A 19,883-nucleotide genomic window follows, 5' to 3' on the forward strand; every position below is an offset into this window, starting at 1 on the left:
CTCTGCCCACATAAGACACTGTAACGTATTGCCAGTCCAACATCCAGATGATTTAACTCTCCTGCCTGAGCTCTGCCTACAGAGAGCATTGGGACATATCCCTTCACCCATCTTTCAGGTGATGGGACTCTATGTTCTTGCCTGGTCCCTGCTTACAAGGGATATTTTGACATATCACTGGGCCTAGCACCTAGCAGGTGTCTTTTCTCTTCTGCCAGAGTTCTGCCCAAAGACGAGATTGTGACATATGACTGGTTCCAACAGCATGGTGACATGACTCTTTTGTCTTGACCCTGCCCTCAGAAGACATTGTGACATATTGCTTGACTCAGCATCAAAGTAATGTGAGTCTCCTGCCTGGACTCTTCCCACAGGAGGCATTGTAACATGTCTTTGGATGCACCAATCATTTGATGAAACTCTACTCTCTTATTTGGGATATGCCTATTAGAGAGACTGTGACATATATCTGGGCTCAGCACCTAGACGATGTGAATCTTGTTCCATGCCTGAGCACTGCATATATTGTGTATTGTGACACACGGCTGAGCCAACACCTAGGTAATGCTGCTTTTCAGGATAGGTTCTTCCAACTGTAGTATTGTAACATATCTTTTCATTTATCTTCTAAGCGATGTGACTCTTTTTTCTGTCTGGGCCCTGCCAAAAAAGAAGACCATGACATATCACTGGACCCACCACCTAGGTGATGTGAGTCTTCTCTTTTACCTGGGCCTCTCATATTTTGAGTATTGTGACATATTGCTAGGCCCAACACCTAGGGTATGGGAAGCTCTTGCCTAAACCCTACTCGCAGAAAACCTTGTGACGTATCTCTTCATACATTACCTAGGAGATGTGACTTTCTTCTGCTTGCACCCTACCCATAGGAAACATTGTGACATATAGCTAGGAGCAGCACCCAGGTGATGTGACTCTCCTGCCTGGTCTCTGTCCTTAGGGAATATTGAGAAATATCTCTAGACTCAAACCCACATGGTGTGACTCTGCTGCTCACTCCCTATCCAAAGGTGGAATTGTGACATATGTCTTTACTCAGGTAACAGATGTGATGATCACCCTCATTCCTCAAACCTTCCAATAGGAGAAATACTGTCTTTTGTAGGTAGGTACTGAGAGTGTCAGCACAGGGCACAGCACAGAATTGAGATTGTGTTTTATATATTTACACTGTGGCAGTCATTAAGATGATCACCCTCACACATAGACTGAGCCCACTGGAGAGGTCCTGAATCCCAAATGCAGATGCAATCTACAGTTGCAATTGTGACAGAACAGTCAGCACCTGTTAGGATAGTGATTCATTTCAGTAGGCAAAGACTTTTCTATCTGGAATCCACCAATCGAAGAGATGTTGACCCTCATGCCTGGGCTTAAAGCCACAGGTAAAATCATGAATCCATACTAGTATGAAGGTTTCAGAACAGATTGTGACTCTCGTGCATACCACATAAAACCCTTGTGTGGTACAGAGAGTGTCCTAACAGGGCTGAGGAATCAGATGAGATTATAACACCTGTATGCACATCCAGCTGATAGTAAAAAATTGTCATCCTCCCACATGAACACAGCCCTCTTTTGAAGTTCTTAATTTCATACCCTGTGGCAGTGGAAAGTTGGAAAACTGACTATCATCCATGGATCCAATCCACAGGTGGGTTGTTTAACCTCAAACATTCAGCACACATGTGAGGCTGTGACTCCACAAAGAGGACAGAGTTTGCAGGAGGGATTGAGGCTGTCATGTATGGATCTACTCTCTCATTAAGATTGTGTGACTCCTGCTTTTAGAGCCAACACACAGGAGGTGTTGACTCTCATAAATAAAACCTAGATGGGTTCAAGATTGCCAATCACATCCCTGGACCTTCTTAGGTGTCATTGTGACATAAGCCTCTGCCCAGGACCTTAGTAATTTGACTCCCTTGCTTGGGGTCAGACAACAGACAGAAATATGACACATCCATGGACCCAGCACCTAGGTGATGTGACTTTATTCTTTTGCTGTGGCTCCACCCGTAGAGAGCATTTTCACACATCAAGGTGCTCTGTACACAGGTTATGTGACTCTTTTGCCTGTGTCCAGACAACGTTGGCCATTGTGACATATTGCAGGGTCCAACACCCAAAGGAAGTAACTCTTATGACAGGGTTCTATCTACAGAGGGCACTGTTACATATTTCTGTGCTCATCATTCAGTTGATGTGACTCTCCTCTCCTGCCTGGGCCATGCCTTCAGGAGAGTGGGAGATAGGGAGAGTGACTTATTGCTAGGCCCAGAACACAGGTGATATAATACTTCTTCCAGGTCTCCTTCTTCAAGTGTTACTATAATATATCGTTAGTCCCATCACATAGAAGATATGACACTTCCGTTTTTTTCTGCAACTTATGCACAGTGTGGATTGTGAAATATGACTTGGCTTAGCACCTACATGGTGTGATTCTCTTCTCATGACTAGGTCTTATCCACTGCGTTGGTTGTGACATAAAGCTGGGCCCAGTCACTAGGTTATGTGACTCTCCTCTTTTTCCTGAGCCCTACCCACAAGAGGCATTAAGACATATCTCTGGGCCCATTCACCTTGGTGATGTGAATCTACTCCCTGGGACACCCCCCCCAGGGGTATTATGAAATATTGCTGGACCCAGCACCTTGTGATATGACTCTTCTCTTTTGCCTGGGCATTGCATACATGTGTATTGTAATATATCGCTATGTTAAACACCTGGGTGATGTGACTTTCCTGCATAAGCTCTGTCCATAGGCATATGATGATATCTCATTTTGTTCATCACCTAGGTGATGTGACTCTACTCTTTTCCTGAGCCCTGCAAAAAGAAGAGATTGTGACATATCACTGAACTGAGCACCTTGGTGATGTGACTATCCTCTCTTGCTCAAGTGTCACATATTATTGGTATTGTGACATACCTCTGTGACCAACACCTATGGGTAGGAAAACTTCCACCCAGACTCAGCCCAAGGGACCCTCATCACTTTTTTAAAAGATATGTGACTTGAAAAATGTGACTGTCTTCTGCCTATACCCTGCCCTCAGGGAAGATTGTGGCATATTACTGAACTAGGCAACCTAGTGATGTGTCTCTTCTGACAGGGGTTTGCCCACATAGACAATTGTGACATATCACTGGGCTCAGGACCCAGGTGATGTGACTCTGCTGCCTGTTCCCAACGTTCAAGAGAGGATTGTAACATATCCCTGGCCAAGAACTCAGGTGATTTGACTCTCCTGCCTTGTCCCTGTCCTCAGAGAAGATTGTGATATATCTTCAGCCCCAAACCCAGGTCATGTGACTTCCCCACTCGCTCCCTATTCAGAGGAGAAACTATTACATATATCCTGGGCCAGCTCACAGGTGTGATGACAATTCTCATACCTCAAACAAGCCAATAGAAGAGATACTGTTTCTCATTGCTAGGCTTAGAAAAACTGGTAAAATACCTGTGTCTCTTTGTATGAAGGTCATAGAGAACTACCACAAACTTGTATATGGAATAAAACCCTTCAGTGGTACAGAGAGTGTCATCACATGTCCCAAAACAAAGAGGATATTGCGTTTCTTGTATGCACATCCAGCCAGCTGTTAGGATTGTCACCCTAACACCTGGATACAACCCATTGGTGAGGTCTTGTGTCTCACATGCAGATGCAATCTACAGTTTGATTCCTGACTGTCATATGTAAACACCTGTCCAAAGTTGGGATGCTGACTCATTTCTAGACCCAGCTCATAGACAAGTGAGGACTCTCCTGTCTGGGTCCAGTCAATTTGAGAAATATTGACTTTTCTACCTGGGCTTAGGGAGCAGTACAAAGGTCTCAGGGCAAATTGTGGCTCTCATTCCTATTCTACAATGATCTTGGGTAGTATAGAGAATGTCCTAACAGGGTTCAGCACACAGGTAAGATTGTGACAGTGATATCCACACCCAGCTGACAGTAAAAATTGACATCTTTCCTCATGAATACAGCCCACTGAATACAGCCCACTGTTGAGGCATTGAATCTCATAACCAAAGGCAGTGGAAAATTGAAACATTGTCTCTTGCTTGTAGACCCAATCCACAGGTGGATTGGTTACTCTCAGATCAAAATTCAGCACACTTATGAGGCCATCACTCCAGTAAGAAAACAGAATTTGCAGAACAAATTGAGGCTTCCATGCACAAATTCAGCCCACTACTGAGACTGTGACTCATTTACTTAGACCCAACATATAGGAAGTGTTGACTCTTATACCTAGAATTGGGACATGTGTAAGATTGTTCATCTTTTCCTTAGACTTTCCTGCAGGAGTGATGCTGACATGTTCCTCTATTTGGCATCTGAGTGATATGACCCTTGCCATGGTCTAGCCCACAGATGGAATTGTGATGTGTTGCTCTACCCAGCACCTAGGTGATGTGACTCCATTTTTCTGCCTTGACACTGTCCATAAAAGGTATTTTGACATATCTCTGGGATATGTACCCAGGTTACATGACTCTCCTGCCTGTGTCCTGTCCACAAATTATGAAATATTACTGGGTCCAACACCCAGGGATGTAACTCTCATGCCTAGGCCCTGCCAACAGGGGGCATTATGACAAATCTGTGTGCCAATAACCCAGGTAATGTGACTCTCTTTTTTTGCATGGTCCCTGCTCACAGGGGGCATTATGACATATTGCTGAACTCAGCATCTAACTGATGTGATTCTCCTTTCTACTTTTTGCCCACAGTGGAGATTGTGACATATCACTGGGCCTCAAACTAATGTGATGTTACACTTTCATTTTTGAACTGAACTCAGAAGGCACTGTGACATATTCCTGGGAACAGCACCAAGGTTATGTGAGTCTTCTGCTTGCACTTTGCCCACAAAAGGCGTTGTAACATATCTTTAGACCTGTCAACTATTTGATGTGACTTATTTTTTTAAAGTGAAAGCAAGTTTATTGAGAAGTAAATAAACAAAAGAATATCTACTCCATAGATAGAGAGGCCCTGAGGGCTGCTCATTGGCTCTTTTTATGGTTATTTCTTGATTACATACTAAACAAGGGATGGATTATTTGTGAGTTTTCCAGGAAAGGGATGGGCAGCTTCCAGAAATCAGGGTGCCTCCCCTTTTTACACCATATAGGATACCTGCTTAACATTGCCATGACATTTGTAAAGTGTCATGGTGCTGTTGGGAGTGTCTTTTAGCATACTAATGCATTACCTTTAGCATATAATGAGTAGTGAGGACTACCAGAGGTCACTTTCATTGCAATTTTTCTTTTGGTGTTTTTTTGCTGTCTTTTGTACTGCATCCTCTTTCATCAGAAAGATCTTTCTGAATGGTACCTTGTGCTGACCTCTTGTCTTATCCTGTGACATAGAAAGTGTGATGTTCTGGAAGTCAGGAATTGTGTTAATTCCTTTCTTTTTGAGGTCTCAGGATAACTTGGGACTGTTGGGCCTGTCAGAAAGTGACATTCCTTACTTACCACATGTCAGGAACCCTGCACAGGGACTTTGTAGACAATGTAGAAGGCCAATTTTCCCAAGGCCAATTTTAGAGCTTTTACTGGCTCTAAAAATCAAGTATGATTTCTCGAAGAAAAGACCATTATTCCAGTCAAAGCCTTGGTAAAATAACCTGTGTCTCCCATTGTGTCCTGTTGCAAATGAAAACATGCTTATTGCACTTAAGCAAATAACTATATTGCCATAAATTAAGAATACTCACCAATATCTTTGCACATTCTGGAGAAATCAGGGAGAGAGAAACAAATATATTCCAAATTATGTTTACAGGAGTCTATTTTCCTCCATCGTTAAAAGCTGTAAATAGCTCAAAAGTGCTCTTGACTCTGAAAAACAAAGGATCCACAACATTTTAAGCAAAAAGCCAAAAAATATTACTTCCATCTTTTATTAGTACAGTTCATGCAGTAAACTCTTGTTCTCCTTGATATTTATTAGCTTTCCATGAGAGTCTTGAAAGTTTTTCTCCTGTTCTAATTTTGCAGTCTTCAAAGTTATCAGAAATTTACATTTAAAAGCACCCATCAATGTTCCATAGCATACTATAGGTCATCTTTTGAAAAGGATTAAAACAGGACAACAATTGTCTGTGGGTGATAAAAAAGCCTTAGAACAGCCATTATTAAAACCACAATTGACGGCCGGGTACAATGGCTCATGCCTGTAATCCCAGTATTTTGGGAGGTCGAGGCAGGTGGATTACCTGAGGTCAGGAGTTCAAGACCAGCCTGACCAACATGGAAAAACCCTGTCTCTACTAAAAATACAAAATTAACCAGGCATGATGGTGCATGCCTGTAATCCCAGCTACTCAGGAGGCTGAGGCAGGAGAATTGCTTGAACCCGGAAGGCAGAGGTTTCAGTGAGCTGAGATCGTGCCATTGAACTCCAGCCTGGGCAACAAGAGTGAAACTCCATCTCAAACAAAACAAAACAAAACAACACAAACAAAAACCACAATTGACTAGAAATATTGGTTACTCTTGTGGAATAAAAAATTTTACATAACAATTATAACTATTAGTAACATACTATACACTAAGTCATATGAGACTTACAGGAGTATTCCATAATTTTAGAACACTCACCAATGACTTATTTGTACAAATACAACCCCAAGAAAGCCAAATACCATTTCATGTTTGACAATATATTCTATATAACTTTTATACCAAATAAATTGAATATGTCATTTTTGGACTTTAGGTGACCTAATATCTAAAAGATTAATTAGGTCAGAAAAGACAAAATTTATAATTTAATTTTGGAAAGTTTTTCAAATAGCAAAGGTTTAAAACATTTTACATTATAAAATCAAATCCCAGGTCACCCTATGTCATTCATTTAGCCAAAATGGTAACTTTTCTTTTTAAAAAAATTTTTAAAAGCCAGAAACCTTTACTTATTAACAGAAGAAAGACTTAGCTTTCCAAACAATCTGTCTCTTGTCTTTTTGCTGTAGTTTATTCAAAAGACAAACCAAAATCTTTCATTTTTTACATATCACATGAATATCTTGTTCAAGAGTGAAAGTCTATATTTCACCTTTGTGTTAGTATACTAATGATGCCAAACCCATTTCTTAATAAAACCTTATATACAAACATATGAAATCTTAATTAGTTTGACTATAAGGTAAGATTCTCAGAAATCTTTTAAAACCCTTTAAAATGTTTGTTGAAGAGCAAATCTGTGCTCTAAGAAAAACCTGCTGTGCTCTTATTCTAATGTTCAATTTATGGAAAAACTGAGTAACATCTATTTAACTTTAGCCAGTATGTTCACACACAGAATTTTTTATGAGATTAATTTTTTAGAAAGCTTCCAGAACTTGTTCAAACCTTCAGGTTTATTCTAATTTTAAACAAACCTTTAGATCTCTGACTTAGGAACCAAAATTAACATTCTTATGCCTTTTTTTAAATCTTAAGCTGAAAGCACATTCTACTTTTCTTACACACCTTGCATGTAAAGCTGTTTTTATTTCCCAAAGATTACTTATGTCACATGAACTAAAAGGCATTCACACATGCACACAGTGCACTGATGAGGTCTTCAACCTCATGGGTGGATGCAGTTCAGTTGGAATTGTGACTGTCATATGTGAACATCCAGCCACAATTGGGATGGTGACTCATCTCTAAACCCAGCTCATAGACAGTTGAGAAATCTATCTGAACCAAATCTACTGAAGAGATGTTGACTCTCATGAATGAGCTTAGGGTCACAGGTACAATCAAGGGTGCATGCTAGCATGAAGGTCTCAGAGCAGATTTTGACTTTCATGCGTACCATACAAATACTTTGAATGGTAGAGATGGTGTGCCCACGAGGCCCAGCACACAGGTAACATTGTGATACTCCTATGCACAGGTAGTCAATAGTAAAGACTGTCATTTTTCCACATGAATACAGCCCACTGTTGAGGTCCTGAATCTCCCACCCAGAGGCAGTGGAAAGTTGGAGAATTAACTCTCATGCGTGGATCTGATACATAGGTGAGTTGGTGACTCTCAAAGACTCCCCACGGCTGTCAGGCTGTGACTTCACTAAGGGAACACAGGTTTCAGGAGAGATTTAGTCTCTTGTGTACAAATTCAGTCCCTTGTTGAGACTGTGACTCATGTGCTTAGACCAAACCTACAGGTGTTGACTCTCATACCTGGAACTGGAACATGTGTGGGATTAATCTTATCCCTGGACCTTCCTATAGGTGTGAATCTGATGTATGCCTCTGTCCAGAATCTGAGTGATTTGACTCTCCTGCCTGGGTCCAGCCTTCAGCAGAGATCATGACATATCACGTGGTGCAGCACTTAGCTGATGTAACCTATTCTCTTGCCTTGGCTCTGCCCATAGAAGGCATTGTGATGTATTGCCAGGCCCTTCACCCAGGTTATGTGATTTCTGCCTGTGCCCTAACCACATTGGCTATATTGACATATTGCACTGTCCGATACCCAGGTGATGTTACTTTTCTGCCTGGGCCCTTCCTACAGGGGACATTATAAAATATCTCTGTGCCCATCACCTATGTGTTTTGACTTTCTTCTCCTGCATGGTTTCTGATCACAGGAGGAAATGGGACATATCCCTGGGCTCAGCACCCAGTTGATGTGACTCTTCCTTTTTTTTCTATGTTCTGCTAACACAAAAGATACTGACATATTGATGGGCCCAACACCAAGGTGATACTACTCTTTCACTTTGGCCCTACCCTCAGAAGGCATGGCAACATATTGCTGGGCCCAAAGCAAAAGAGATTTGAGTCCTTTGCCTGGACCCTCCTTGCAGGGGGCATTGTGATATATCTCTGGGTCCATTGACTGTTTGATCTGAGTCTCCTCTCTTTCCTGGGCTTTGCCTATAGTAGACACTATGATGTATCTCTGGGCTGTGCACCCAGCTAATTTGACTTGCCTCTTCTGTCTGGGCCATGACTACAGATAAGAGTGATTTATCAGGACCCAGCACACAAGTGATGTGGTTCTTCTGCCTGCTTTCTGCCCACAGGCATCATTGATACATACCTGTGGTCCCAAAAATGCAGATAATGTGACTCTTTTTTAGGGCGGGAAGGGATATGTCCACAGTGGGGATTTTGACATATTGCTTGGCACAGCATTTATGTTACTTGACTCTCCTCTCATGCTTAGGCTCTACCCACTGGGGTAATTGTGACATATATCTGGGTGCAGCCCCTAGGTTTTATGGCTATCCTCTTTTCCATGATCCCTACTCATAGCATACATTGTGACATATCTCTGGTTTTCTCACCTAGTTTATGTGACTTTCTTGTCTATGCCCTTCCATCACAGGGTATTGTGACATATTGCTAGGCCCATTATCTAGATGATGTGACTCTCTTTGCTTGCCTGTGCACCACCCAAAAGGGACATTGTGACACATCTCTGAACCAATTTCCTACATAATATGCCTCTTCATTGCTGCCTGAGAAATGCCCCCAAAGAGGATTGTGACATGTCTCTGGGCCCAGAACCTGAATGTTGTGACTCTCCTGCCTTGACATAGAGGAAATATTATGATATGTCACTCGGCCCTGCACACAAATGATGTTACTCTCCTGCCTGGGCCTTGCTTATAGAGGGGATTGAGACATTTTACAGGTGAAGAATTCAAGTGACATCATTCTCATTTCTCAGCCTTTCCTGCAGGTAAGATTGTGACATATTACTTAGCCCAGCACACAGATGAAATTTTTCCGCTTGTATGCAAACCCAGCCAACAGGGGCTATTGTCACCATAACACATGAATAAAGACCACTGTTGAGGTCCTGAATCTTATATGTGAACACATCAACAGTTGGAATCGTGACTGTCATATGTATATCTTGCCGTAAGTGGGATGGTGACTCATTTCTGGACTCAGCTCACAGGAATAGTGATGACTCTGATACCTGGACCAAGCCAGTAAGAGAGATGTTGACTCTGGGGTCAACCTAGACTTAGGGGTCTGGGTCTTTTACTTGTAGGAAGGCAACAGAAGATTATGAAACTTACACATATGGTATAAAGCTCTTGGGGAATACAGAGTGTCATTACAGGGCCCAGTCCACAGGTGAGATTGTAACCCTCCTATATACATCTGGCCAACAATTTGAATTGCCACCTTCACATATAGACCGAGCCCATTGCTGAGGTCCTGAATCTCACACATAAACCTATTTCACCATTGAAATTGTTACTGTCATATGTGGATTCAGCCACAGGTTGGATGATGACAAATTTCTGAACCCAACCCACTTGCACAATGAACCCAGCCAGCAGAAGATGTGTTGATTTTGAGGCTTAGGGCAAGAAGCAAGGTTTTGTGTTTCTCACTTGTATGAAAGTCACAGAAAATTTTCAAACTCACTCATGTTGTATAATGCCCTCAGGTTGTACGGAGAGTGTCATTACATAACTCAGCACAAAGTGGAGATTGTGACTCTCAAGCGCACACCAAGCCAAGAGTAAAAATTGTCATAGACACACATAGACAGAACCCACTGGTGAGGTCTTGAATCTCATTCTCAGATGAGTCTACAGTTTGAATTTTTAATGTCATGTTTGGATCCAGCCACAGGTGGGAGAGTGACTCATATCTGAACCCAACTAAGAGGCACAGTCATGATTTTCATACCTGGACCCAGCCAATATGAGAGGTGTTGACTCTCATACCTGGACTTAGGAAAAGAGGTAAGATCATGAGTTTATACCAGCACCAATGTCTCAAAGGGGATTGTGACTCTTGCCCAAACAATGCAAAGCCCTATGGAGGTAAAGAGAGTGTGATAAGAGGACCCAGAACACAGCTGAAATTGTGATTCTTATATGCACTTCCAGCCCACAGTAAAAAGTGTCACCCTCCCACATGAATAGAGACCACTGATGAGCTTCTGAATTGTACATCTGGATGCAGTTGAAAGCTGGAATTCTGATTCTCGTATGTGCATTTTGTCCAGAGGTAGATGATGACTCTAGGATCAGGGTTCATCACACAGGTGAGGCTTTGGCTCTGATATCAGGACACAGCCTGCAGGTGGAATTGGGACTCTCATGCATGAATCTAGTCCATCATTGAGATTGTGACTCATGTACTTGGATGCAACTCACAGGAGGTGTTGACTCTTTTACCTGAAGCTGGGACACATGTGGAATTGTGAATCTTAGCCCTGGACCTTCCCACAAGTGTTGTGACATATACTTTGGCCTAGCACCTAAGTGATTTTACTTCCCTGCCTGGACCCAGCCCTCAGAGGGGATTGTGACAGATACCTGGGTCAAACACCTAGGTGATGTGACTCTCATGCTTGAGCCCTATCCACAGAGGGTGCTGTAGAATATCACTGGGCTCAGTGCTTAGGTCATGTGTATCTTATTTTCAGCCAGGGCCCTGCCCACAGAGCCATTGTGAGATATCACTGAGCCCAGCACCTCCGTGATGTGACTGTATGGCCTGGGCCCTGCCCACAGTAGGTATTGTGACTTACCTCTGAACTCATTACCTAGGTGATGTGACTTTCCTCTTTTGCCTGCATTCTGCCCCCTCAAAATGGCCTGTGACATACCACAGGTCTTAGCACTTAGGTGATATGATTCTCCTCTGCTGCCTGGGCCCTAGCCGTAGGAGAGATTGACTCATTTTACTGAGCCGAGATTGCAGGTAATGTAAGCTTCTATCCTAGGCCCTGCCCACAGGAGGTATGGTGATATATCTCTGTGGCCATAATTTAGGTGCTGTGACTCTTCTATTCTCTTCAGGCCATGCCAGTTGAGGGGGATTGTGACATATCGTTGGACCAGCACAAGGGAAATTGAAAACTCCTGCCTAGGCCATTCCCATAGAAGGCATTGTGACATATCACTGGTCACAGCACACAGGTAATTTGACTCTCCTTCCTGGGCCTTGCCCATAGGAGATATTGTAGCATATCTTTAGCCCAGCACTTAAAATATGCGACCCTCCTAGTTGGTTTCTTTTCCACAGGTGAGAATTTTACATAAAACTGCACCCAGCACACAGGTGAAATTGTGACTCTTGGATGTTCATCCAGCCAACAGTTATGAGTGTCATCATCGCACATGGACAGAGAACTCTGGTGAGGTCCTGAATCTTGTACACGGACATAGTCCACAGTTGGAATTTTGACTGTCATGTGTAGATCCAGCCACAGGTGTGATGTTGACCTGTTTATGGAGTTAGCTCACAGGCACAGTGAGAACTCTCATATCTTGACCCAGTCAATAGAAGAGATGCTGACTCTTATAGCTAGGCTTAAGGAAATTAATAGGGTCCTGGGTCTCCTACCTGTATGAAAGTCACAGAAGATTATGACACTCATGCATATTGTATAAAGCCCTCTGGTGGTATAGAGATTAATTAACAGGGCCCAGCACACAGGTGAGATTGTGACTTTGTTATGCAGACACCGCTGACAGTACCATCACCCTCACATATAAACAGAGCCCACTGGTGAGGTCCTAAATTTCATGCCCTGACACAGTTCACAGTTGGGATTGTGACTGTGATATTTCAATCTGATCACAGGTGAGATGGTGACTCATTTCTGGATCCAGCTTAGAAAATAGTGAAGGCTCTTTCACCTGGACTCAGCCAAATGGAGAGACGTTGACTCTGTTAACTAGGCTTAGGGCAGCACATAAGGTTCTAGGTCTCCTGCTTGCATAAAGGTAGCAGAGGATTATGACACTATACATATTGTACAAAGTCCCCCATTGGTCCTGAGAGGGTCATAACAGGGTCTGGCACACAGGTGAGACTGTGACTCTGGTATGCACACAGGCAGAGTAAGGATTATCAACCTCCTACATGGACACAGCCCACTGTTGAGATTCTGAATCTCACAACCAGAAGCAGTCAAAAGTTGGAGTTGTGACTCTCATAGGTGGATGTGGTCCACAGCTGAGATGATGACCTCAGACCAGGAGGCAGCACACCTGGAGGCTGTGACTCCTCTACCGAGATGCAGTCTGCAGGTGTGATTGTGGCTGTCATGCACAAATCCAGTCCACCTTTGACATTGTGACACCCTTACTGAGACCCAGTTCACAGGAGGAGTTCACTCTGATACATAGAGCTGGGACATGTGTGGGATTGTAAATCATATCACTTAACCTTTCTGCAGGTGTGATTGTGATATATAGCTTTGCCCAGCACCTGAGTAATTTAACTCTCTTGTCTGAGCCTGGCATACAGTTAGGATCTTAACATATACCTGGGCCAAGCACCTAGGTAGTGTGACTTTTTTTTGGGCCCTGCCCTCAGGGATAATTGTTACTTATCACTAAGTTCAGAACCTAGTGATGTGACATTTCTCTACTGTCTTGGTCCTACCCACAAAATAAAATTATATCACTGGGCCCAGCATCTAGGTAATGTGCCTCTACTCTTTTTCACAGGCCCTGTTTACAGTGGGCTTTGTGTCACATACATGAGCCCTGCTCAAAAGCGTGATGATGATTCTCATACATAAACCCAGCTGATAGAAGCAATTTTTTACTCACATAGTGAGGGGTAGGACAACAAACAAGGTCTTGTGTCTTTTACTTGTACAAAGGTCACAGAACATTTTTAGCTCACCCATGTGTCATACAGTCTTAAGGTAGTAGAGAGAGTGCTGATACAAGGCCCACCTGAAGATGAGATTGTGACTCTCCTATGCACACCTCGCTGACCATTAGAATCACCACATTCAAACATGGAGAGAGCCCACTGGTGACCTAAATTTTACATGCCGATGCAGTCTGCAGTTAGAGTTGTAACTGTCATATATGCATTTGGCCACAAGTAGGATGGTGATTCATTATTGGACCCAGCTCACAGGCATGATGATGAATCTTGTATCTGGAATCAGCAAAAAAAAAAAAAAAGATATATTAATTCACATAGCTAGGCTTAGGGCAAATGGTAAGGTCCTGGTTCCCCTACTTGTATGAGGGTCACAGAAGATTACAAACATGTTTATAATATAAAGGCCTTGGGTGGCACAGAGAGTGTCACAGCAGGACCCAGCACACAGGTGAGATTGTGGCTCTCTTAAACACACCCAGCCAGCAGTTAGGATTGTCACCCTCAAACAGGAACAGAGCCTACTGGTGAGGTCTAGAATCTAAAGTGGAAACACGGTCCACAGTTGGAATTATGAATGTCATATGTGGATCTGGCCACAAGTTAGATGTTGACACATTTTTGAACCCAGCTCACAGTCACAGGGATGACTCTCATACCTGGACTCAGCCAATAGGAGATATGTTGACTCTCAGGCTTAGGGCAATGGGTAAGATCATGAGCTTATATCAGCACTATATCTTATAGGAAATTTCAATTCTTATGCATCCTGCATAAAGCTCTGGGGTGGTATAGATTGTGTCATAACAGGGCTCAGCACGAGTGGGATTGAGACCCTTGTGTGCACATGCAGCCAAAAGTAAGAACTGTCACCCTCTCACATGGACACAGCCCACTGTTGAGGTTCTGAATCTCACATTCAGGGGTATTCAAAAGTTGGAATTGTGATTCTCATAGGTAGATTTGATTAACAAGTAGGATGGTGACAGGTAGGATAGTTAGGATTGTATCTTCAGGCCAAAATTTATCACACCTATGAGGCAGTGACTGCCCCCACTGAAACACTGTCCAGAGTTGGTGTTGGCTTTCTCAGGCACTGATCCAGTCCATGGTTAAAAATGTGATTCACATTCTTGAACATAACTCACAGGAGTAGTTGACTCTCATACCTGAAGCTGGGACAAGTGTGAGATTGTAAATCTTACGTCTGGACCTTCCCGCGGGATGATCGTTACATATATCTTTGGCAGAGAACTGATGAATTTTGCTCTCCTGCAGAAGCCCTTTCTATAGTTGAGATTTTGACATACACCTTGGTGAAGTATCTAGAATATGTGATGCTCCTGCCTGGGCTCTGCCCTCAGGGGGGATTGTGACATATCTCCAGGACATATATGTAGGTTATGTGCCTCTCCAATCCTGCCTAGGCTGTTCCCAAAAAAGGCATTGCGACATGCCTGAACCCATCACCTATGTGATTTGACTCTTTTTTTCCCCTGGGCCCTGCCCTCAGTGGGGATTGTGACATGTCACTGGGCCCATCATTTCCATGATGTGACTTTTGTGTTCTGCTTTGACCCTGCTTGCAGGAGGATTGTGACATATAACTAGGCCCAGCACCTGGGTGATGTGACTCTCATTTCCTGCCTGTGTTCTGCCAACAGAATAGATTGTGACATATAGCTGGGCCAAGCACCCAGGTGATGTGACTCCTGCCTACAGTGGCCATTGTGACACATCTTCTTCCTGGGTCCTGTTTATGAGTGGGATTGTAACAAATCTTTGGCCAAGCACCAAAGTGATGTGACTCTCGTTTGGTTTCTGCTCACAGGAGGTATTGCGACATATATCTAGGCCAAGTTTAGAGGCGTAATGATAGCCCTCATACGTGGACCCAGTTGATACAGGAGATTTGGCCTCTATTTTCTAGGCTTAGGGCAATGGGTAAGGTTCTGGGTGAAGAAGCATAAGGTTCTGGGTGAAGAAAGGTCACATAAGATTATGACAAGCATATTCTCTAAAGCCCTTGTGTGACATTTAGAGATTACAGGATCCAGCACCCAAGTGAAATTACTACTCTTGTAGACAAACCCAGCTGACAATTAGGATTGTCACCCTCACACATTGACAGAGCCACTGGTGAGGTCCTGAATCTCACAGGCACAGTCCACAATTGGAATTGTGACTTTCGTATGTGTACTGGGACAGTTGATATGGTGACTTATTTTTGGAGCCAGCTTACAAGCACTGTGATGACTGTCATAAATATATCTGACCAATAAGAGAGATGTTGACACATACCTGGTAATAGAACAATGGGTACGATCATTGGTTCACACCAGCATGAAGATCTCAAAGCAGATTGTGACTGTCGCTCATACCACATAAAGCCCTTGGGTGGTACAGAGAGTGTCATAACAGGACCCAGGACACAGGTGAAATTGTGACTTTCTTATGCACACTCAGCCAACAGTAAACATTGTCACCCTCCCAAATGGAAACCATCCACTGTTGAGGCTGTGAACCTCACATGTGCAGGTAGCCGAAAGTTGGAATTGTGACTTTCGTGAATACATCTTGTCCACAGGTAAGATAGTGACTCAAAGACCAGGATTCAGCATGCCTGTGAGGCTGTGACTCGTATACTGAGAAACCTGCATTTAGAATTGTGGCTCTCATGCAGGGATGCAGTCCACTATTAAGACTGTGACTCATGTACTTAGACCCAACTCACAGGAGGTCTTGACTCTCATACCTGGAGCCAGAAAATGCGTGAAAGTTTAAATTTTATTTCTGGATCTTTTGCTGGTGTATTTGCAATATATACCTTTGTCCAATGCCTGAAATATTTGGTCCTCCTGCTGGGGAAAAGCCTGCAAATGGAATTGTGACATATACCTGAGCCCTCCATGTAAGTTATTTTACTCTACTGCATAGGTCCTCAGGGGAGATTGTGATATATCACTGGGCCCATCACCTAGGTTAAATGATTATCTTCTTTGGCTGGGCCCTGCCAACACCAAGAGTTGTGGCATATAACTGGACACATCACTTAAGTAATGTGACTCTCCTTTTCTGCTTGGGCCCTGTACACAGGGTGGATTGTGACATATTACTGTCACAATACTGTGTCCCGCACACAGGAAATGTAACTTTTCTAACTGAACCCTACCCACAAGAGGCATTGTGACATACTGTTAGGCCCAGTTCCCAGGTTATGTGACTTCACTGCCATGGCCCTGCCCAGAGAGTGGATATTGACATCTTTTTGGTCCAGCATTCAGGTGATTTGATTATCTTGCCTATTCCATTCTCACAGGTTAAATTTCAAACTATGCGTGTTTCCCAGCTCACAGGCATTATGCCCATGCTCATATAGAAAACCAGACACTAGGAGTGATTTTGACTCTCTTAGCTAGATTTTGAGCAGTGGGTAAAGTCCGAAGTCTCCTACATTTAGAAGGGTAACAAAAGTTGATAAAATGTGTGCATATTCTATAAATACTTTGAGTAATATAGACAGTATAATAAGGGCCCAGCACATAGTGAGATTGTGACTCTCATAGGCATACCAAGCCAACAATTAGGATCATCACTTCCAAACATGACAGTAGCACACTAGTGAGGTCCTGAACCTCACATGCAGGTGCAGTCCACAGTTAAAATTCTGATTGTCATATGTGGATCTGAGAACAGGTTGAATAGTGACTGATTTCCAGACTTAGCTCAGAGGCACGGACTTGCATACCCAGACCTAGCCATAGGAGATATGTTGACTCTCACAGGTAGCCTTAAAACAATGGGAAAGGTCCTGGGCTTTCTACTTGTATGAAGGTCACAAAAGATTACAAAACTCATGCAAATTTTATGACCCCCTTGTGTGGTACAGAGAGTGTCATAACAGATCCCAGCACAAAGTTAAAATTGTGATTCTCATAGGCATACCCAGCCAACAGTGAGGATTGTCACTCTCACACATCAACAGAGACCACTGACGAGGTCCTGCATATGGCATGTGGATGCAGTCCACGGTTCAAATTGTATTGTTCACACTCATCTGTCACTGGGTGCTGGGTTCATGATATATGCATTTTGTAAAAATTTATAAAGCTGTTATTTTATAATATATGTGCTTTTTATGGGTGTAAAATTAAAAACATAATTTTTGATTTTTCTATTTATCTCATGTTTCTTCCACAATCAATTTTTGTCACATACTTTTCTGGAAAATAGATAATTTCATCTAAATTTTCAAGTTTAATGTCATGACATTTTAAAAAATATTATGTTTGAATCTTGAATGTATCTCTAAATATCCTCTTTTGTCTTTTGTAAAATTTTTCTCCTCTTGAAATAGTTTATCTACTTTATTATTACATTCAAAGAACAGCACTAATTTTACTCAGATGTTATTATCCCTGAGTAACAAATGAGTCGGAGAAGTCGAGAAACTTGCCCAAGGTTACACAGGTACTCTGAGCCTGCTCTTCTAACCACTGAACACATGGTGTCATCCAGGAAACACATATGCAATACTATTTCTAAAGGTACATAAAATCACATTATACACATGCAAATATGTGTAAAGATAAAATGAACCTATACAGTGTTTACCTGCAGAAAAGTCACTGGTTGAGGGTGTAGAAGGTCACATGGAAGAAGCCTTCTCTGTTTTTACTGTTGTTTTGTTGTTTTTGTAGAGATAAGGTCTTGCTATATTGTCTAGGCTGTTCTCAATCTCAGCTCAAGCAATCCTCCTGCTTCAGACTCCCAATGTGCTCTCTGTCATATTTTTAAAATTACTTATTGGGTCAAGTGTGCTGGCTCATGCCTGTAATCACAACATTTTGGGAGGCCAAGGGGAAAAGATTGCTTGAGTTCAGGCATTTAAGACAAGCCTGGGCAACATAGTGAGACCTCATCTCAACTAAAAATAGAAAAAAATAGCTGGGCACGGTGGCTCACGCCTGTAATCTCATCACTTTGGGAAGCTTTTTCTTCAAAGATTAAAAACAAATCTTGGTGTCTGGCAGCCAGGTAAGGTGAGGGCAGGAGGCAGAAACTTGCAATCCATGGGGTGCGTTGGCTTTTTCAACATTATTTTTCTCCCCGACTACACAGAAAATTTCTTCAGTGTTTGATCTTATGCATCTTTGAATCCAAACATCTCATTCTTTGCCTTATACATATTAAAAATGTATTCACAGTTCATAAAACATAATCAATCTATCAAAAAATATTCCAAACTAAAAACATTCTTTTTATAGAACCTAGTAATGCACCTTAATTCCTTACAATTTGTGTTGAGAATTACTAGTATTATGATGTTTTCTAACATGTATCAAGTACTTTTAGATGTTTAGCACTTGAGATATATTATAAAAACCTTCTCAATATTAACCTGGGACTCCAAAGAATATGTATGGCCCAAACAGTTGTTTTCTTCCCAACACCAAGGAATGGCATACAAGATTGTCTTCAAGTTGAGGACAGGTCATAAAGAAAAATTTTTAAAAAGAGAAAAAAAAATCTGCAAACTTGTTTCTACACATGGGTCTTACATACATTTCTTCATCAATTATATTAATTCTGAATGAACCATATTACCTGAAGTTGTACAAATAATTGCTTCAAATTGTAGAATCCCCAGGAAACAGAAAGAAGCAAAAGCAAACACTCCCAAAGAAAGTTACATCTATTCCAGACCTTGATGAACCTTGCAAACAATTTTCCATTATGTGCAATGACTAGCAAGCAAGCAAGCAAATATGACAAAGTTCACAATAAATAAGATCGTGTGAAAGACACCAGAAAAAAAAAACATAACAGAAACAAATCTGCAAAGACATCCAATATTAGAATTATCAGACACAAAAAATCAAAAACAACTATGCTTACCATATCTAAAAAAGACAAATGAACGTATATGCAGGAAAGAAGAAACTATATAAAGATTCTAAAAATAAGTTGTAAAATGAATAATACAATAACTAAAATAAAAACTAACCACATTTGAACTTACATGTACAAGACAGAACCAGTAAACTAGATGCTAGATCAGTAGAAATTAACACATATGCAACAAATATCAGTGCCAGAAAAATATCTGGTAAGTATTCTAAGCATTCAAAATTTAAAACTGAAAAGCATAAGGTTGATACTATTTAACCTTTCTAAAAATTAGAATAGGTAAAAATACTGCACAACTCAATTCCTGAGTTAACATCAA

At 42.0% G+C, this 19,883-nt stretch overlaps 1 long non-coding RNA gene across 2 annotated transcripts; it reads left to right on the plus strand.

Moving 5' to 3' along the window:
- The first annotated feature begins 4,793 nt into the window (after window positions 1–4,793).
- On the plus strand, window positions 4,794–18,088 carry LOC105372325 (uncharacterized). Of its 2 annotated transcripts, XR_001754074.2 has the most exons (7): window positions 4,794–4,881; window positions 7,978–8,060; window positions 10,643–10,761; window positions 10,909–11,066; window positions 11,827–11,946; window positions 12,053–12,164; window positions 18,012–18,088. It is a non-coding gene; the product is annotated as an uncharacterized LOC105372325 (long non-coding RNA). The 2 variants fall into 2 exon arrangements; XR_007067203.1 differs by lacking the exon at window positions 10,909–11,066.
- Window positions 18,089–19,883: the final 1,795 nt, after the last annotated feature.

Source organism: Homo sapiens, chromosome 19 (genome assembly GCF_000001405.40).
Source record: "Homo sapiens chromosome 19, GRCh38.p14 Primary Assembly".
NCBI classification, from domain to species: Eukaryota; Metazoa; Chordata; class Mammalia; order Primates; family Hominidae; genus Homo; species Homo sapiens.